The 22,577-nt window shown below is 37.9% G+C and overlaps 2 long non-coding RNA genes across 2 annotated transcripts in view, besides 1 other annotated feature; one reads left to right on the forward strand and one right to left on the reverse strand.

Annotated features, from left to right (window-relative positions):
- Positions 1 to 22,577, forward strand: part of LINC02241 (long intergenic non-protein coding RNA 2241) — a 325,854-nt gene that overhangs the window by 693 nt on the left and 302,584 nt on the right. The window lies entirely within an intron of this gene.
- Positions 93 to 3,003, reverse strand: LINC02146 (long intergenic non-protein coding RNA 2146). Its single transcript, NR_147185.1, has 3 exons — positions 2,987 to 3,003; positions 2,145 to 2,224; positions 93 to 512 (listed from the first exon to the last, which is right to left on the reverse strand). It is a non-coding gene; the product is annotated as a long intergenic non-protein coding RNA 2146 (long non-coding RNA).
- Positions 3,688 to 3,982: an enhancer, noted in NCBI's record as "tiled region #13238; HepG2 Activating non-DNase unmatched - State 24:Quies, and K562 Activating DNase matched - State 9:DNaseU". NCBI's record gives its function as "activates a minimal TATA promoter and a strong SV40 promoter by Sharpr-MPRA in HepG2 and K562 cells {active_cell/tissue: HepG2 | K562}" and the evidence as "EXISTENCE:reporter gene assay evidence [ECO:0000049][PMID:27701403]".

Here is a 22,577-nt window from a genome sequence, read left to right on the forward strand (position 1 = left end):
GCTCATGCCATTCTTTATTGCAGGAGAGTATACATATAGCACGTGATTGTATGCAATTATTATTTAAACTACTATAAAGAACATTTCACCAATGAAATACTGATGTTTTATATTTCTCAAAGAATAGGGTAACAAAAATAGTTTGCAACATGAGATAAATCCAGAAGTTGTGAATATTAAATAGTTGTGGATTTAAATTTTGTTTTCTATGTTGCACTTTTTATATATAATGCTAGAAGGTACAGACATAGGTTTAATTAGTGATAATGTGTCTGGAATTGGTTCCTTCCAGTGGGTTCTCGGTCTCGCTGACTTCAAGAATGAAGCCGCAGACCCTCACGGTGAGCGTTACAGTTCGTAAAGATGTTGTGTCAGGAGTTTGTTCCTTCACATGTTCAGATGTGTCCGGGGTTTCTTCCTTCCGGTGGTTTCATGGTCTCCCCGACTTGACTTCAGGAGTGAAGCCGCAGACCTCTGCAGTGAGTGCTACAGCTCATAAAGGTAGCACAGGCCTGAAGAGTGAGCAGCAGCAAGATTTACTGTGAAAAGCAAAAGAATGAACCTTCCAAAGCTGGAAGGAGCCCCAAACAGGTTGCCGCGGCTGGCTCCCCTGGCCAGCTATTATTCCCTTATTTGGCCCCACCCACGTCCTGCTGATTGGTCCATTTTACAGACCGCTGATTGGTCCGTTTTTACAGAGTGCTGACTGGTGTGTTTACAAACCTTTAGCTAGACACAGAGCGCTGACTGGTGAGTTTTTACAGAGTGCTGATTGGTGCATTTACAAAGCTTTAGCTAGACACAGAGCACTGATTGGTGCATTTACAATCCTTTAGCCAGACAGAAAAGTTCTCCAAGTCCCCACGTGACCCAGAAGCCCAGCTGGCTTCGCCTCTCAATAACATTGTTAAATTTATAACCTCAACTAGAAAGGAGGATGAGCATAGTCCAGCTGAAGAAAGAGCTAAAATATCGATTTAGAACTAGTCTACATATTTTGAGAAAAAAACATTTCATTCAATTTGCTGTTTTATCTAATAACTAAGAGTGATGCTAATACATGCATGAAAATACTTCATTCTGAAATTATGAGCATTGTTTGAATAACTTATGAAAGGGGTTCCCCATTCCTCAGAAAGATTTCCAAAAAGGAAAGATATAACAATACTCAGGCAAGTACTTTTTTCATTCTGTAAAAATTTCATGCAAAGCAACATTTGTAACAGAAGTGTAAAGTGCTAATACAACATACCAAATACGTTTGTACACACTTTTTGTTTAATAAATATGCCATTCCTCAAAGCACGCTTCTAGCCATCCTCTTACTCACTATGTGTAAAATCTGTGCTGCTTTTTTTTTGTTTGTTTTTGAGATGTTTTCCCGCTTGTTACTCAGGCTGGAGTGTGTGGTGTGATCTCAGCTCACTACAACCTACACCTCCAGGTTCAAGTGATTCTTGTGCGTCAGCCTCCCGAGTAGCTGGGACTACAGGGGCCCGCCACCACACCTGGCTGATTTTTGTATTTTTAGTAGAGATGGGGTTTTGCCATTTGGCCAGGCTGCTGTGGAACTCCTGGCCTCAAGTGAACTTCCTGCCTTGGCCTCCCAAAGTTCTGTGATTAAATGCATGAGCCACCACACCCAGCCTGTGCTGCTTTTTTACAAAAAATAAATTTGCTATCTAAGGCTGTGTCCTTATGTAGTATCATGCTTACTTAAGCATATGCTTGAACTTAATATGAACGGGATAATAATACATTTTATACAAAAATTTTCCATCAAAGTTGGTAAAATAACAAGGAACAAAAGCAAGCGGGAATTAGGTAAAATATTTAGCAAATTTATGACTAAGGATCCTTTCCACGGTAGCATTCTGCCTGTCTTGGGGGCAATGAGGTCAGATCCTTGAAGCTCCACCTTTCTATTTTGGATAGAGTGGTGCTATTCAGTCAAAGTTTGCCTCTCTCTCTGCTTCATCTGCTTTCCATTTATTTACAATTGACCAACTGGGGGAAATATTATTTCTTTATCAAGGGCAATAAAGTAATTAGGTGACTGCCAAGCTTGTTTGGGTGGTGCATTTCTATTCTGCTTTGAAGATAACTATTCATGATTCAATCTTGGGTTTTAATTTTCAGCTTACCTTTTAAAATGCAACCATATTTTCAAGTTCATTGAAGTAAGCAAGAGGAAAGATCATTGCAATGTCACCATCCATATCACCTACAAATATGTTAAAACTTTTATTATTTCTCTATAAGTATTATCTATGTGTAGACAATTGGCCAAATAGTTACATTATATTGACAAAAAGTCATGATTCTTGTCCTTGAGACATAAAATAGAGTATGAATTAATAAAGTAGGGCCTCTGGGCCAAATCCAGCCCAGTGCTTGTTTTTATAAATAACGTTATTGGAACACATCCATGTTCAATCAGTGACACATTATCCATGGCTGTTTTTATGCTACCATGACAAGTTCAGTGGCTAGGACAGAGATCACATGGACTGCAAAGCCTAAAACATTTACTAACTGACCCTTTACAGAAAAAGTTTTCTGGCCGGGCGCGGTGGCTCACGCCTGTAATCCCAGCACTTTGGGTGGCCGAGGCGGGTGGATCACGAGGTCAGGGGACCCAGACCATCCTGGCTAACACGGTGAAACCCCGTCTCTACTAAAAATACAAAAAATTAGTTGGGCGTGGTGGTGGGCGCCTGTAGTCCCAGCTGCTCAAGAGGCTCAGGCAGGAGAATGGCATGAACCCGGGAGGTGGAGGTTGCAGTGAGCCGAGATCGCGCCACTGCACTCCAGCCTGGGCGACAGAGCAAGACTCTGTCTCAAAAAAAAAAAAAAGTTTTCTGACCCCTGATATAAAAGAAAAGAAGGGTCAAATCAAGAATCAAAATTCAAATGATCTAATGGAGTATTTATATTTCTGGGGGGTCTAACTTCTCCACACAACTATTATGATTCCCTAAATTACCTTCCAATAAACCACTGATACTTGAATTCCCATCTCAAGGTTGATTTTGGGTAAATCAAAACAAAGACAAGTGGTATTAGAAGTGGATTCCTAGAAGGCAGATTCTCATAATGGGTTTCCAGTACAGAATTGTCCTCTGGCTATTTATGGTGATAAGTGAAGGAGTGAGAACTCTTAGCGTAATAAAACATCCGAAGTTCTAAGACCCCCCACATGTTGTGAATTTGGTTGGAGTAAAGATCTAAGGGTCCATACTGGGCTATAAAAATAGTGTAGTACTTGAGCAGTACTGTAAAAATGGCAATTATAAATAATTATGAGTGTTGAGGAGGTAATATGAACACTCAAGTTCAAAGCAGTAAAATAAAAATTAAAAAAAAAAGACAGACTTAGGTAAGCCATCTATCAACTCGGAGAATGCTGATGCTTTGTTGAAAGAGAGCTTTGTCTTACAAATTAGGCACTTATAAAAGTAAGTAAATCTCAGACTTGAGGAATATACTGAAGCAGGAAATTCCCCTGACCCCTTGGTGGGTGGGAACTGCAGTGCAGGCACTGGAGCTAGCCAGCTGCTTCAGCATTGGCAGGGGCAAACTCCACTCACTGGAACCTGTGGGCGCTCAACCCTTCCCGGGAAGGGGCACGCAGGTGAGCGCTTTTGGGTGTCAGCTGGAACAAAACTCTGTGAGCCCCACGGAAGCATCTAGCGGGGAGTACCAATGACCTCCAAAGCCCTAGACAGCAAGTGTTACAGTGGGAGGCACCTGGTGGAAGGTAATTGAATCATACGGGCGGCTTTTTCCTGTGCTGTTCTCGTGATAGTGAGTAAGTATCACGAGATCTGACGGTTTTATAAAGCGTAGTTTTCCCTGTACAAGCTCTCGCCTGCCGCCATGTAAACGTTCTTTGCTCCTGCTTCGTCTTCTGCCGTGATTGTGAGGCCTCCCCAGCCATGTGGAACTGTGAGTCCAGTAAACCTCTTTTTCTTTATAAATTACCCAGTTTCAGATACGTCTTTATTAGCGGCGTGAGAATGGACTAATACACTAACTTTCTCAGTGAGCATCTTATTCCAGTTATAAAACTACCTCTGGTTCTGAAGATACAAAGATAGGATAATGCTAACTATTTCTTTGCATAAGGCAAGTGAAAAAATACAGATGACCTGATATCTTCTATCTGCCTACTCTCTCTACCTTTTGAAAGCTCTCTTTCTGTTGCTTTAATAGCATTGAATTGATACGCCATTATTGTGTCTATTCCTTTCACAATACCCTTAAATAAAGTCTTACTTTTAACTTTTTCCAGTGCCGTTTTTGTTTTGCTGAACCTTAGAAAAATTAATAGTTTACAGTAAATTAGGTGGAGATGCTAGAACATCTGAGGCAAAATATTGAGAATGGGTTTTAAAGGCTACATAAAAATATGCTGGCCGGGCGCGGTGGCTCACGCTTGTAATCCCAGCACTTTGGGAGGCCGAGGCGGGCGGATCACGAGGTCAGGAGATCGAGACCACAGTGAAACCCAGTCTCTACTAAAAATACAAAAAATTAGCCTGGCGTGGTGGTGGGCGCCTGTAGTCCCAGCTACTCGGAGAGGCTGAGGCAGGAGAATGGCGTGAACCCGGGAGGCGGAGCTTGCAGTGAGCCAGGATTGCACCACTGCACTCCAGCCTGGGTGACAGAGCGAGACTCCGTCTTAAAAAAAAAAAGAAAAAAAAAATGCTAAAATGGATTATGTAAGAACAGATAATCCACGATTTAACTATGTCCCCGCAGAGAACTTAGGAGAGATTCCCTTCACTAAAGTGGTGAGATATATGTCATGCCACTACCATCAAGATTTCAGATAAAACAGGAGAGGTAAATCTTCCCCAAAACCCAGTCTACTGCCATCAAAGGTGCAGAAAATATATATTGTCTATGAAATACAATTGATGTTCATCACATATAATCCTAATTTATTTTACCTTGCCTTTTGTGTATTCCAGTAGACTATTTAAATATTTCATAATGACAGAAGCTATGAATAAAAACAAAATTAATTTTATTTTTCATATTTATATTCCATTTATTTCTAAATAGGATATTGCAACTTAATATTATTTTTTAAAGATGCAAACACAAACATCATTAAATTGTTTAAAAAATTCAGAAAAAAATTAAAATACATGGAATGAAAAAGGCACCTATATGAGGGATAAAGATCCTACTTAAAATTAGTTGTGAGTATACTAGTGGACAACAAAAAAGAGATTGCAATTGGATATGTTGCTCCTGTTATCCAAAGTAGGAAGCCCATTCTTTCTGTGGATCAGTGTCTTAGTTTTCTATCACTGCTGTAGCAAATAGTCACAAATTTCATTGTTTGGAACAACACAAACATATTTTCTTAAAATTCTGTAGGCCAAAAGTCTTGGTAGGCTCAACTGCTTCCCCTTTTCCAAATCTCACAGGACTACAATCAAAGCATCGGTTAGCCTGGGCTCTTATTTCAAAGCTTTGAGAGAGAATCTTCTTCCAAAATCATTCGTGTTTCTGGCAAAATTCCTGTGCTATCCTGGCAGGCTATTGGCTGGGAGACCTAGCTGCTTTAGACCACCTGCATTCCTGATCGCTTCATCCTTTCATTCTTCAAATAAGCAATGTATGTTAAGTTCTTAAGCTTTAAGTCTCTCTAACATCTCTTTTGCCAGATTTCTTCTTCTCCAGCTGAAGATAGCTCTCAGCTTTTAAAGGTTCCTGTGACTAGATTGGACCCCCTCATAAATTTCAAATTAATCTTTTAATTTTAAGATCTTCAACCTTAATTACATCTGCAAAATTCCTCTGTTCAAGAAATATTATGTATTCAAAGGTTCCAGGAATTAGGGAGTAGATATCTTTAAGGGGAAATTCTGCCTTCCATGGGGAGAAACTTGGAATGTCAAGCTTTCCTAGTACCAAAATATTGCCAAACACACAAGCACAGCCTTTTCGAATATGACTTAAGTTGGGTCATAATAATAAATGTAATAATATTAAGCAATAATGTCCTTAATACCTCTGAAATTATTTAGGCATACTTCATTTCCTTTGGCAGTTGTAAATTCCCAAGCAATCTTGTTTCATAATAATAAAATGTTTTACCCAGACAAGGGTAGTGTAGTTGCTTCTAGAAGTAAATTGTCTCAAGATGTGTTGAAATTGTACTTTCTTTAGACAATGGTTCTGATATAATATTTTCTGACTTTTGATAGAGGCTAAAATTAGGTAGTTTTTTCTAAAAGTATTTAATTAGGGCTTTGGATACTGGTAGTTTTATATTGTGAATTGGGAGATTTGTTCACTTTGCAATTAGATAAACAGAAGATGAGTTTGAGCACCAATTGCATTTTTCTCTTCCTCTGTCAATAGAGTTTGTTAGGTAAAATCCCTCAAATATCAGGTGAACTCAAAAGAATGTCTTTTGTATTTAAACTGGTTGCATAGATTCATGTATATCAAGTGCTTGAAAATTAGCTAATATTTTCTTTAATATGATGAAGATGCCTCATTTTCATTCTTTCTAAATGTACTTCAGTTGCTGAGAGAATTTTAGTATGCTGAGTGATAGTTCTGGCCTTTTGGCAAATCAGGCATATCCTGAATGTAATGATAATCCCCACCCAGCAGGTATTTCTAACTGAATACAAACAAAATTAACTGTGTGAAAATGTTCATATAATTATGGTGTGACAGGATGTGAGATAAGACACTTTATTTTCCTTATTGTCAATAGGCAGATTGCAGACTAATTTAGTGATTTAAAAGACATAAACAACTAATTTTTTAGGCATAAAAAACCTAAATCAATGTTTGAGGCAACTAAATAACTAAATACTGTGAGGTAAACATTTTAAAATAAAATATTTTTATATTCTTATTTTCTTTTATGTACTATTAACAGGCTTGGAAATATTGTTTCCTCTTCTTAAATATACACAATAATACATATTTTGGTAGTTTATTCATCTTAAAAATAATGAAAGAATCCAGTATTTATTTTGAAGACATTGCATATGCATATACAGTTATATAAATATGTATTCTTTTTCAATATTTTCCGATACTCCAAGTCTCATGACTCATAGAATAAAATTGAAAATAAAAGCTGTTGACTAATATGATTTATTTCTGTTTGCAAATTTGTAAATAGGAAAGCCTCTCAAATGCTTATCAGCTCCAAGAATACATAAATACAGAATATCGAGCTCCTATTGCTGCATATTCCAACCCCCCACAAGCTGCCATCTGTTACTCATAGGTACAGCTTTCTAACATCAGGTCTCTATGAACTCGATGCTTATGTTTTACAAAATAAATGGTGGAAAGAAACCAAAAATGGTTAGAGTCTCATCTCTACCACTGTCAAATGGGCTTCATTTTTCCCTTTTCTCACAGCAAATAACAAAATATCCTCCAGAGAGTTGTGCTAAATGCTGCCTCTGGTCATATGTTGCTTGGTGTGTAGGGAGCAGCCGCAATGGAGCAACAACATTATTTGCAGATGTTATTTTGTGTTCTGAAGTGTTATTTTCTTATTAATTTATGCTAAGTCAAATTTGCACTGAAATACTAAAGTACTAAATACTGAATTTAGTATTTTGAAGAATATTGAGGAGTATAAGAAGGACATGTATCACAATTGCTTTTATTTATTAATAAAATAATAGTGTTTATCTTAGTTCTTATATATAACTTTTTTAAAGTAACATGGAAGCATGAGTAAAGTTAAAACTTTGAGTGACCATTTTCAGAAATAAAACTGTATTTAGGTACCTGGAAACCAAAATTTAGACTTAAAGTGAAAGATAGGATTTGGATTATCTAGTTTTGATGTGAAGAAAGCAAGCTGATCCAGGCTGCCATTTACTTGAACTACTCTTTGTAGGCCTCAGCCTCACGTTCAAAAGTGTTCCACACAGCTACTGGGTACAGTTGTCTCTATTTAACCATACATGAAGGAGGGTCATAAAAGCATGGGATTTAGTAAATCGGTATGCTGAGTCATATGTTGCAATAAACTGCATATAATAAATTAGTTGAAATATGCAATGCACAGGTGGGGATGTATATAATATACATAAAACTATGTAATATATACCTACATACATACATACGATATTACAGCAAAATTTGGAGCTATATTCCAATTGTTTTCCCCTTATACATTTGAGGAACTCTTTGGTCAGCATATGGCTCTCTCATAAGGTCTCCCTGCCTTTTTTTAATGTCCAACCCTCCTTTGCATTCCCACCTGGCCCAGAACGTGTGCTCATCCTGTACTTAAGTAATTATTGCATTCATTCAATCTTTATCCCAGAGCTTTTTTTTTAATTGTGCAGAGTTTTCACACTACCTACAATTTCTAGAATGTTCTGTCTACAAAGCATGAAGGATTCGTGTCTATTTATCTTGATCTAGCAGTTTCTTTTTCTATGGCACTGAATAAACTTATAAACATGCAGGATTTAAAAAATATGATTCAATTTTTCTAAAGATGGTGAAAGTGATATTTTCTTTAGAATTTTTTCCTGATGGATATTATGTATAAATCTCTCTGATTTCACATGGCAAAAATAAGGTTAAGTTAAAAATTACCTGAGAGAATCCTTGAATTTATGACTTCTGGGCTTAAGTTTTATTGTAACATCTCCACGTTTCAATATTTAACTATCTCTGGGCCACATAAAGCATGAGGACAGGTACTTTTGATATATTTGCTGTGTTGTGGGAGAAAAACAAATCTCACCATTTTCTTATAATTGCCCCAAAATTTTAGTTTAAGAAATACTTTTAATAAAAGTAGTCTCCTTCCCAGATTAGTAAATGTATTCTAACTAAAGGGTTTTGTGTGTGTGTGTATGTGTATATGTATACACCTATATATATTCATGTATATATATACATCTATATATATACACACACACCTTTAGTTAGTCTATGTGTGTGTGTGTATATATATATATATATATATATAAAAGTTATAGTCAATTGAACTCAACGAATCAAATGATTGAATGTGCCCTATCTGCCAGGTATTCGATAATATAATTGAGAGTGAATACAAGAAAAAATAAACTATACTTACTATCTCAGGAAGTCCATTTTAATTGGGAAGTAAAAATGTAGCCACATAAACATGTTACATATTGATAGGATACATTTTGGTGGTGTTTGCCAGGTGCTGCAGTTGTGGAATTAGCAGCCATTAATTTTATCCTAGGGGTTGAAGATACTGTTAGTGCTAGTTTTTGAAGAACAACTGGGGAATTTCCAGCTGAATTTGATAAGGACAATACAGGGAATAGAAATACTATTGTCAGAGAGCTTTACAATGCAAAGTTTCTGTGTTCCAGTAATGTGTCTGTACAAGAACAGAAAAACTATCGTGGATTCAAATTTGAAACTGTTTGTAAGCCTGAACAAATAATTTTAAGCAGAGGCATTCACAGTGTGATTTATTTTATAAAGAATATTTGGGATCTCAAATTGCAGAATGGATAGTTTATATTAGAAAAGTATTTTAACAGTTCAACGTAGGAATAATTGCAAATTGAACTAGGGTAGAAATTGTGGGGAGAAGATAGATATGTATGCACTTATATGTACAGATGTGCATACCTCCTTGTTTGGATGATGGGACCCAACACATGGGCACTTGCATAGACGAAAAGCAAATTCTATGTTACTTTCAACCCCAAAGGAGAGAAGACTGCCTGGCAGGGTACACAAGGTGGCCCACCCAGAGACAGAGTAACCTCAGGATGGAGCTGTAAGAGATAGGTAATGTATAGCAAGTGGGGAGAGATGAGTGAGGTTTGGTATCTGGCTCTGGGGAAATTCAGGGAAGTGTTTGTGACTGAGCATGTGAGAGCCTGATAAGGGAGCTGGTTGAGGTGGGCCTCTTCCAGCCAATTGGAGGTCTGAGTATAACAAAAAAGCAGAGTAAGAAGGAATTCCTCTGGCTGGACTGCCTTGAACTGCAATATAGGAATTCTCCAGCCTGCAGACTTGAATTGAAACGTTGGCTCTTTTGGGGTAGAGCTTTCTAGTCTTTAGATTAGAGCTTTTTGCATCAGCTCTTCTGGGTCTCCAGCTTGCTGACTGCCCATCTTGGGACTTCTCTGTCTGCATCTCTCTTATGTGTATACATAAGATTTGTTGTTAAATTTTACACACACACACACACACAATTGGAATCTGTTGGTTCTGTTTTTCTGAAGAATCCTATTACAGGTCCACATGGGGAAGTACTAGATTTCGGCAGAAGGAGAAGTAAGGAAAAAGTATAGATTCCTCAGGGATCTAGAACTAGAAATACCATTTGAACCAGCCATCCCATTACTGAGTATATACCCAAAGGACTATAAATCATGCTGCTATAAAGACACATGCACACGTATGTTTATTGCAGCACTATTCACAATAGCAGACTTGGAACCAAGTCAAATGTCCAACAATGATAGACTGGATTAAGAAAATGTGGCACATATACACCATGGAATACTAGGCAGCCTTAAAAAATGATGAGTTCATGTCCTTTGTAGGCACATGGATGAAATTGGAAATCATCATTCTCAGTAAACTATCGCAAGAACAAAAAACCAAACACCGCATATTCTCACTCATAGGTGGGAATTGAACAATGAGAACACATGGACACAGGAAGGGGAACATCACACTCTGGGGACTGTTGTGGGGTGGGGGGAGGGGGGAGGGATAGCTTTAGGAGATATACCTAATGCTAAATGACGAGTTAATGGGTGCAGCACACCAGCATGGCACATGTATACATATGTAAATACCCTGCACATTGTGCACATGTACCCGAAAACTTAAAGTATAAAAATAATAAAATAAAATAAAATAAAATAAAATAAATAATATTTAGGAAGAACCATTACTTAATAAAAGATAAACCATTTATTCAAATATTTTCTTTTATTTCTGAATCCATCACTGTGGGAAATCTGGAATTCTACATTTCACAAGACAATGAACTTTTGTTTGCCCTGGAGAAATATGTAACTTTTCACAGGCTTTTTCTATTTTAACATATATAGAGATAGTGTTTGGAAATTTAAGAACAAGAGTGGACCTAAGTATGAAAAATACGTACAACTTTTTCTTTAGTTACTCTTGATACTTTTCATTGTTCAGGTTTTATGTATAATAAAACCTTACTTTATTTCCTTTCTTTTTAGTTTTCTTCCTTTGTTTTGCTATTGCTATAGCACAGGATAAAGAACTTACAGAATATACATTGGTTATGCAATTTAATTAATTTTTAGGAGTTATGATTATTATAATCATCAAAGCCTTGGGCTCAAAATAAAAATAATGATTTTCATTTTTAAATATACTTTTATTTTAAGGAATCAGTGGCTATGATTAATTTAATAGCACTCCTTCAATTCTAATAATGTTTTGTTACAAAGCTTACATGTCATTTCTTTAAGCCAGCTCTTTTTATGTTATTAATGTTAGAACATTTTAAGTCAATGATTTCATTTGCTAATATTGGTTTATTTCTAACAGCATCCATCATTGTTTAACAGTCTGTTGGAGTGTTGCAAATTTATGAATTTTTATTATGAGGGCTCCTTTTGGCAACAGATAATTTTTTGTTAACTATCATCAAAAAAGATAGAGGCTTTCTTCTTTCAAGAACAATTTGTGTTTTGATAAAAACAATGTGTTATAATAGATTACATTTATTTTATATAATGTTATAACTATTAGGGATGAGGCTTTTATAGAGATTATTATAATAACTTTGCTAGTCATTGATTTTTATTCAGTAATATATGTTGTCTTGTGTGTTTGTGTGTGTGTATTCATTCCCATGGATACTTGTCCTATGGTTGTAAAAACATTAATGTCAAAATGCATGAGTTGAATTTAAGACATGGAGAGACTGCAATTGTAGTAGCAATTAATTTTGTTCACTATGTATTCAAATATGGTCACCTCACTGAATTCTGAAAATATAATAGAATTATCCTTCCTGATTCTGATGTAGGTGACTGCAGTCATAGGATTAGTTCTGAAAAATTATAAGTGCATAAAACATCTCACTTATAGGAAAGACATTTACTTAATAAGAAGAGCTTCAAGAACATTCTTTACTTACGCCACAATATCTGGCAGAATTTGTGATATAGTTAGTAAACAAGCCCAGATACCTAAATGACTACAGTGAGCACAGGAGCCACCTCCCATATACAAACTTACAACTGACATGTTCCTTGAGCAAGTAATAAACTTTTATTGTATCAAGACATTGTTATTTTATTTGGAGAATATTATAGAATAATCTCTGTTATCCTGATTTACATAACACAATTCACCTTTTTCATATGCATGTAAGAATACAGATCATTAACATGGTTATTTTCTATGAAAATTATAGTTCAAGTTTTAATCTGATACTTGAAATAACAGTATGCCTTTGCCCAACTAAATATAACTTGCTTTTTTATTGTCAGTGAGGATAATGATTTTTATCACTATATTTCTCAAAATACAAAGCAAGAAAGAATTCACCGAGTCTGTAATTAGTTCAGGAAATATGTTGAAGAAACATAAGGGGGCCAGGCGCAATGGCTCACACCTATAATCCCAGCACTTTGGGAAACTGTGACGGGTGGATCAATAGAGCTCAGGAGTTTGAGACTAGCCTGGGAAACATGGCAAAACCCCTGCTCTACAAAAAAATACAATAATAAAAGTTATAATAATCTGGGTGTGGTGGTCTGCACCTGTAAGTCCCAGCTATGTGGAAGGCTGAAGTGGGAGAATCCAGGCCCAGGAGGTTTAGGATGCAGTGAGCCGTATTCCTGACACTGCACTCCAGCCTAGGTGTCAGAGTGAGGCCCTGTCTCAAAACATAAAAAATAAAAAAATAAGGATTACATGAAATAGGATACTGTTATTATTAAATGTAACACAAAATAAATCCCGATGAGATTATAATATGCTGATATTGATAATAACAATTATAATACCAGCAAAATTATATTTATTAAATATTTAAAATGTGCCTGTCACTATACTAAGTGATTTGCATGTTGTATCCCATTTATTCTCATAGCAATCTTGTCATATAAGTAATATTATCTCAATTTTTTCAGAAAATAAAGCCAAACTAAGGTTTAGTGAGGTGTTTTGGGCTGAATTGTGTCACCCCAAAATTCAGAACCTCAGAATATAATGGTATTTAGAGATAAGGTCTTTCAAGAAATGATTATGTCAAAATGAGTCTGTTAGGGTAGGGTCTTAACCCATATGACTGGTGTCCTTATAAAAACAGGAGGAGACACCAGGGATGACACACACAGAGGAAAAGCCACGTGTGGACACAGTAAGAAGGCAGCCATCTGAAAACCAACAAGAAAGATCTTATGGGAAACCAGCCCTGCCTGCACCTTGATCTTGGATTTCTAATCTCCATAAATATGAGAAAAATATTTCTATCAAGTCACAGATCTGTGGCATTTTGTTATGGTAGTCATATGGCAGTTATATTATTATCTTTAACTATAATAAGATAGAGGTAAAGATAACTTACGTGAAGTAACAAAAATAGTAAGTGACAGAGACAGCATTTACATCAGGAGTGTTTAACATTAGTTTACACTTGTATCCCAAGCACACATTGCAGTTTGGATATTTCTTTGTGGTTGCAACCTTTTTTGCTTAGCCTTTTTGTTGCTTCTGTAACAGTTATTGTTCAACGATAAAATTGCCATAAGCCTATTTCACCATATTAGAATTTAGATCACAAATTCATTCCCAAACATCTGTTGAGAACACATTGGATGTCTGAATTAAAATGACTTAAGAAACACAGTTTTATGGTATGTGATCATCTGACTTAGTCTTCCAAACGGTTAAAAATTCCTTTAAAAAATGGGAACTGTGCAGCTCATAAATCAACACAACATAGGTGAGGAATTTCCAAAGGTGATTAAATTTTTATGCACATTTATATAATTTAGCACATTAGTATTCCTATGTCTGGGTAAAACTCTCCTGTGGGCTTTAAACTGCTTAGTTGGTATCATCAAATTAACGATGACCAAATTAGTACATATTAGCAGTTAGATTCTTATATTTAAGGTCAATGTCTTATTTCCTGTATAATGTTAACAAACTTACAATAATTTGTAAGTCTTTGCTTGCATAAAATGCCACTCATAGTAAAGAATATTCTATAGCTTAAATGATAATGAGAAATATTTTGGATTTATATTCCAATTTTATATTACCAAAGGCTAGATGGTATAGATTCCAGTTATGTCATCTATACATGGTGCATCATTATTAACTTAAAGTAGAGCTAAAGCAAAACAACAGTAACAGAGGCACTATTTATAACAGTGAAAACATGGCCAGGTATGGTGGTTTATGCCTGTAATCCCAGCACTTTGGGAGGCTGAGGCAGGCAGATCATGAGGTCAAGAAGTCGAGACCATCCTGGCCAACATGGTGAAACGCCGTCTCTACTAAAATTACAAAACTTAGCTGGGCATGGAGGCGTGTGCTTGTAGTCCCAGCTACTCAGGAGGCTGAGGCAGAAGAATTGCTTGAACCCAGGAGGTGGAGGTTGCATTGAGCTGAGATCGCACCACTATACTCTAGCCCGGCAATAGAGCAAGATTCTGTCTAAAAAAAAAGAAAAAAGAAAAAAAAAAAACAGTGAAAACATAACCTTCCCTTCATTACTGAAGATCTATCAAAACCAATTGTATATAATGCAAGCATCTATAGCAAAAGTTTACTTTTGTTTAGACATATCTAAACCAGTCTAATAAAAGTAGCAATGTTTTGTGATGGAGACAGATCACAAATTTAGATATTAGAAATTGTTGAGACTATTGGATAATTAATTAATTTAGGGACCCTAGCTATCTTATACATAAATTTTAATATGTATTATGATTTATCAGTCATTTAAAAATGTCTACTTTTTCAACTCAAGATAATTTGTGAGCAGCATCAGAAAGGAGGAAACTTCTTTGTCCTCTTCCTTTATAATAATTCCTTCCATTTGGTTTTCTACCTGTATTTACAAAACATTTATAAATCATCCATTGCTTCTTAATGGCTTACAGAAGCAATGATGAAACTGTGACAGGATAAAATTAACAAGATTTTCTCATAATATAAAACTAAGCTCCATTGTGTGCTAGATGGTTTTTGTCTCAACGTTGTGATTTAACATAAATTTTAAACACAGAACACTATTTCAAGAATTCTTCTCTCATTCTGTAAACAAATTTGAAGAGGAATGTATTAGTCCGTTCTCATGCTGCTAATAAAGACATACCTGAGACTGAGTAATTTATTAAAAAAAAAGATGTAATGGACTTATAGTTCCCCATGGCTGGGAAGGCCTTACAATTATGGCAGAAGGTGAAGGAGGAGCAGAGGCATGTCTTACATGGCTGCAGGCAAGAGAGTGTTGGCGGGGGAAACTGCCCTTTATAAAACCATCAGATCTCATGAGACTTACTCATTTTTATGAGAACAGCATGGGAAAACCTGCCCCCATGATTCAATTACATCCCACCAGGTCCCTTCTATGATACAAGGGGATTATGGCAGCTACAATCAAGATGACATTTGGGTGATGTCACAGCCAAACCATACCATTGTCCTTACATTTCAAAACACAATCATGCCTTCTCAACAGTCCCCGAAAGTCTCAACTCATTCCAGCATTAACTCAAAATTCCCAGTCCAAAATCTCATCTGAGACAAGGCAAGTCCCTTCTGCCTGTAAAATCAAAAGCAAGTTAGTTACTTCCTAGATACAATGGGGGTACAAGCACTGGGTAAATATACACATTTCAAATTGGAGAAATCAGTCAAAACCAAAGGGGCTATAGGCCCAATGCAAGTCTGAAATCCAATAGGGCAGTCACTAAACCTTAAACTTCCAAAACGATCCCCTTTGACTCCATGTCTCACATTCAGGTCATGCTGATGCAAGAGGTAGTTTCCTATAGTCTTGAGCAGCTCTGCCTTTGTGGCTTTGCATGGTACAGGACCCCTCCTGGTTGCCTTCACGGGCTGGCGTTGTGTCTGCAGCACTTCCTGGCACATGGTGCAAGCTGCTGTTGGATCTACCATTCTGGGGTCTGGAATATGGTGGCCTTCTTCTTACTGCTCCACCAGGCAGTGCCCCAGCGGGGATCCAACCTCACATTTCCCTTCCACACTGCCCTAGCAGAGGTTCTCCATGAGGGCTCTGCCCCTGTAGCAGACTTCTGCCTGGGCATCCAGGTGTTCCCATACATCTTCTGAAATCTAGGCAGAGGTTCTCAAACCTCAATTCTTGACTTCTGTCCATCTACAGGCTCAACACCACGTGGAAGCTGCCAAGGCATGGGGCTTGCACCCTCTGAAACAATGGCCTGAGCTGTATGTTGCCCACTTTTTGTCATGGCTGGAGCATGTAGGTCACAGGACACCAAGTCCCAAGACTGCATACATCAGGGAACCCCTGAACCTGGCCCAGGAAACTATTTTTCCCTCTTAGACCTCTGGACCTGTGATGGAAGGGGCTGCCTCAAATGTCTCTGACATGCTCTGGAGACATTTTCTCCATGGTCTTGGTGATTAACATTTGGCTCCTCATTCATTATGCAAATTTCTGCAGCCAGCTTGAATTTCTCCTCAAAAAATGTGGTTTTCTTTTCTCTCATATCATCAGGCCATAGAGTTTTCAAAGTTTTATGCTCTGCTTCTTGTTGAATGCTTTGCCAATTAGAAATTTCTTCCAGCAGATACTAAATCATCTCTCTCAAGTTCAAAGTTCCACAGATCTCTAGGGCAGGGGCAAAATGCCACCAGTCTCTTTGCATAGCAAAAGTGACCTTTACTCCAGTTTCCAACAAGTTCCTCATCTCCATCTGAGACCACTTCAGCCTGGACTTTATTGTCCATATCACTATCAGCCTTTTGGTCAAAGCCATTAAACGAGTCTCTAGGAAGTTCCAAACTTTCCCACATTTTTCTACCTTCTTTGGAGCCCTCCAAATGGTTCCAGCCTCCACCTGTTACCCAGTTCCAAAGTCACTTCCATATTCTTGAGTATCTTTACAGCAGTGCTGCATTCTCTGTGCAACCAATTGACTATATTAGTCTATTCTCATGCTTCTAATAAAGACATACCTGAGACTGGGTGATTTATTGGAAAAAAAAAAAGGTTTAATGGACTCACAGTTCCACATAGCTAGAGAGGCCTCACAATCATGGTGGAAGGTGAAGGAAGAGCAAAGACATGTCTTACGTAGCAGAAGGCAAGAGAGCGTGTGCAGGGAAACTGCCCTTTATAAAACCCATCAGTTCTCATGAGATTTATTCACTATCATGAGAAAAGCATGGAAAAATCCCACCCATGATTCAATTACCTCCCATCAGATCTCTCCCATGACACATGGGGATTATGGATAGCTACAATTCAAGATGAGATTTGGGTAGGGTCACAGTCAAACCTTATCAAGGAATTGAATACAAAGAGATAATATACTAGTTATCATACTTTTGTGTGTTTACATAGGCAATATGAATATTTTCTGTTTATCTTTTGCATTTAGGTGCTTATCTTTGATTTTTTTTACCAGTTTCTTAAAATTACATAAGTAATCCACAAAAATCATCTCCAGTTTATAAAAAAGATTCAAATTGGTTGACATAGAAATGTGTGTTTTCAAAGGCCAGTTCACCTTCTTTTTTTCGTCTGTAACACTCTCTTATCCCTAAATAAATTATATTGTAAGTTGTTGGTATACCTACATGGATCTCAAATGTGGACAATTTTTACCCCAGAATAATATTTGGCAATGTATAGAGACATTTTTGATTGCCTTATCTAAATAGAGGGAGTGAAGAAAACCTCTAGTGTGTATTAGCCAGAGATAATGCTCAATCATTCAGTCCTCAGGACAGCCCCATCACAAAGAATTATTAGTCCATATGCTGGTATATATCATGCCAGTCTTTCTCTGGATCAACTGCATTTACACATATGCACATGGATGTTTTGTTGACTGTAGTATGTCAAAATTTAAAGACATATCAGGCACACAGTAGATAAAACTCTTCAAGCTATATCCATATGAATGAAGGTCAATCATTCATATTGATAGAATTAATAAATTTGTTGACTAATAAAGCTCTTTAAATACATGTTATTTTAGATAAAAATTAAGAGCTTCTCAATTTTGTAAAATAGTCATCTTAGTGTTTTAGTTTTTGAATTATTAAAAAAAACACTGTTGAATTTTTTTTTAATAATAAAGCTCAGCTTTGCTACTACTTCTGGACTAGTCTATTTGCCAATTCTGAGATTTCTCAAATTTATGAGTCACATTAGATAATGTCTGCTCTTTCAATTGTTCTAATTTGTTTTATTATCTGATCCAAATGCCTGAATCTCAATGGATTTATCATTAACTCTTTCTAACTCAGAAACTCTTGTGAGAGAGATGACAGACATATCACAAGATTATTGTGCTGCACTGAACAAGGGCATGATACATGGTAAATAAATGAATGAAAAGAGAAGGAGAAGAGAGCTATTTTGGGGTCTCATTTATACTCCACTTATATCATCTTTGATTTCTAATAATAAACTGATGAAACATATTTTAAGTAATTTATAAATGTAAAATTCGTTTTTTATTTTACAATTTTAGCTACAGCACAGTAACTGTTATAATAGTTAAAACTTTTTTTCACATTAGAACCTTACTTTTTTAACAGTGAAAAGAATTATAATTATGTCTTTACATTTCTATCAGTATTTCATTGCAATATGTCCTGAATTTGACAGATGAACAATTATCTCTTTTTTTATTAATGGACTTTGCAGGAAACAAATTAAGGCCATTTGAGTAATTACAATAACTTGATACATTTCTAATTTGCTATAGAATGTAACTCATGACTTGTATCTGAAAAAAAAGGAAGGAAGATAGAGAGACAAAAGATAGGAAGGGAGGGAAGAAGGAAACAAGGAAGGGAGGAAGGAAGGAAGGGAGGGAGGGAGGAAAGAACGAAGGAAGGAAAGAGAAGAAGGAAGGAGGGAGGGAGGGAAATAATCTAATGAGAAATGGGAAACAATAGTATCATTAATTTTTTTAAATTATACTTTATCTGGTACATGTGTAGAACGTGCGGGCTTGTTACATAGGTAAACACGTACCATGGTGGTTTGCTGCACCCATCAACCCGTCATCTACATTAGGTATTTCTCCTAATGCTATCACTCCCCCAGTCCCCCACCCCCCAACAGGCCCCGGTGTCTGATGCCTGCCTCCCCGTGTCCATGTGTTCTCATTGTTCAGCTCCCATTTATGAGTGAGAACATGCGGTGTTTGGTTTTCTGTTCTTGTGTTAGTTTGCTGAAAATGACTGGTAATGTTTAATAAGATGGGAGAGATGGATGTTACCTATTAAGATGCATATTGTTTTCCTCAAGGAATATTACCTTTTGAGCATTTTGCACTGTGGTCCAAAAATGGCTCAAATTCATCTGTTTCTTGCTGAATCCCAGCTTTGCATGTGTGTCACTAAATCCACAAGGCAGCGATTCAGTGCTAATGAACTCTTCTGGTGGTTACTAACTGCTCTATAAGCATTGTAGGTAGACCATAAATAAAATTTTACCAGTCAGTTATGAAAGGAGAAAAATGAGAACAAAATAGGGAGTTTTCAATGAAGCTAATGTTAAAAGGAGTGATCTTTATCTGCTCATATACATTTGCAGTTTTACAATATTAAAATAGCTGTGTATCATTGATATTTTATTATTTTGCTGTCCTTACTTTTCAAAACAATATATTGTAAACCTGTACTAGTTCTTACAAGTCTCTTGAAAAATTACGGTTTGTGATACTGTATTTAATAGTCTATCAGGCCATGGTTTGCATTAATAAAATATGCCGGGGACCCAGGGACACTACACTGCACCTCCTTTTTGTCTCAATTACATACCATGGTTAAGTCTTATTGCATTTTTATAAGTTTATTTAACAATTTAAGTTCGAAAGATATTACACAATTTCATAGTGCTCAATTTTAATACATTTCAAATGAAAGCAAAAAGGAAAAAATGAATCCCATTAGAATTTTATTCTGTTCATATATGCATACTCACAATATAATTAATATTCTGAGCATTATTCATTAACTAGGTGGCCAGTATATTATGGATTCAGATTTCATTTAAACTTTGAGGAGAAAAGAAAGTAACTTTATAAATAATAGCATTAAATAATGTTCATAGGAAATATAACTTTATTGAAGTATTCATAAAATATAAATTGGACCTCTCTAAGACGTTTATTTCCTGTATAACTCTTACTACACTAATTTCTTACTTTCCTGTTGATTTTTTAAGCTATAGTTAAAATACATAGGGAAGGGCTTCAAGATGGCTGACTAAAGGCACCTAGCACTCGCCTCCTCTGGAAAAAAGGACCAAAACAGTGAGTAGATAATAATAAGTCAAATAGTAGATAATAACAAGTCAAATAGAGAGTATAACACAGAACAGTAAAATTCAGCAGGGAAGTGTCAGGGAACCTCTTAGGCAGAGAAGTAAAAGGAAGTGAAGCATCCTCCCAGGCTGGGACCAGCTGTGAACCAGGAGAAACCTTCCAGTGCAGAAAATATGTAAGTGACAGATCCCAGTAGTTCACATTCCCACTGCAGACTACTGTGGTACTAGCCACAGAGATAGCCTCAGCCATCATGGTCTCTGGGACCAGGTTAGGGAACTGCCACACTCCCTAGGGAGAGTCCACACAATAACATGGTTCGAGAGAATGAATTTGTACTGGGCCCCGCACACTTCCCTGAGACACAAACGACTGCAGCCTGGTGCCATTTAGAGAGCCCAGCCCCAACCAGACTACATCCTGCCCTGGGACCCAAAGGGCCCCTGTGTCTCCACATCCCTGGATCCTCATTGACATCTCCGTATGTCTACCCAGAAAACTGTAGCATCACTGCACTGGGTGGACCAGCGGTGCAGATGAATCTCCAGCAGTCTAGCCCATGCAGTTTCGTATAGCCAAGGGAATTTGTGGTGAAACTCAGTAAGAAGACTGTCCCTGGGACAAAGGGAGCTGAAGCACATGCCTCCCAGAGCCTGAGGGCAGTGTGCACAGGAATACTGCCCCTGACAGCAACCCTGCCCCCTCCCAGCAGTAGGGCTGCCACATATCTGTACAAGCTTTCAGGGGGCCTAGGGACCTGAAGCTCAGGTACTTTCCGTGGACCTAAGAGCAGACCTGTCCCACCCACCATTGCTCCCACTGAATCTCACCATCTGGGGGCCTGGAAATCAATACCTCTTGCCAGCCACAGCTGGTGCTTGCCTGCATCATCAGTGAGCCTGAGGACAGGCCCCCTCTGACCAGTGCTGTCCCTACCAGTGCCCACAAGTGTCGTCTAGGAGCCAGGAGATTGACTTACCCCACGTACCACAGACTGTACCAACATATACCATTGGTGGCCTAAGGCCCAGGCCTTTTCACCACTGCGGATGTGAGGCCTAGATATCAGCCTTCCCTGCCTATCACTGCTGATGCACAAAGGTGCACCATCAGGAGACCTGGAAACAGATCCAGCCTGCCCGCTGTCAGCACCTGAGAACACTGGTAAGGGACAAGAGAATTTACATGTCCTGCCTACCACCACTTGCATCCTGATAAACTATCATGGGGATGCAGAAAAAGACCACTCCTTTTGATACCTTTCTTGCCAGTGCCTGTGTGCATTATCTGGGAGCTTGGGGTTGATCTGACTCCCCCGACTTCCATTAGTTCCCATGCATGCCTTCTGGAGGCCAGTGGATTGCTCCACCCAGTCTGCTCATGCCTACACACACGAGCCACGGGGCTGGGGATTGACAAAAACATCTTCCACAGTCTGTGTGCACGGTAAGGGGCCTGAGGACAGGCCCAGCTCACCTGGTGCCACCCCTGCCAGTACCGGCATGTGTCTTCTATGGTCCTAGAGGTCGACCTGTCCACCACCACTGTCATCTGTGCACCCCTAACGAGAGCCTGGGGATGGACCCGCCAAGCTTGCTGCCACCACTGCTGCTGGCATGTTTCCCAACAAGCACTACCTGGAAGCCTGAGGATTGGCACACCACTGTTATTTTGATCACAGATGCTGTATAAGCTGCCTAGAGCTTGTCCAGTCTACTGGTGCCTAGAGGATCTCTCCAGCCTACTGGTGCCAATGCAAACGCTTAAGAAAGCCACCTGGAGGCCCTCAAAATGGTCTATCTCTAGCTGCTACCACCAGTACCCATGTATACTGCATACACAAGGGCTAACATGCTCAGCCCACTGCTGCCACCACTGGGGCCTGAGGACTGGCCCAGCTTGTGTTGCCATCCTTAGCAATGTTCCACCACAGTCTCCACTAACAACTGCAGCTGAAGCCACTGAATAACTCACAGGAACCACTGATAGTGATTACAGTTAAAGAAATCATACAGAGACTGCACTACTGCATGCACTGAAAATCAAAGCCAAAGC

The sequence above is a fragment of the Homo sapiens genome, chromosome 5 (assembly GCF_000001405.40).
Source record: "Homo sapiens chromosome 5, GRCh38.p14 Primary Assembly".
Taxonomy (NCBI): Eukaryota; Metazoa; Chordata; class Mammalia; order Primates; family Hominidae; genus Homo; species Homo sapiens.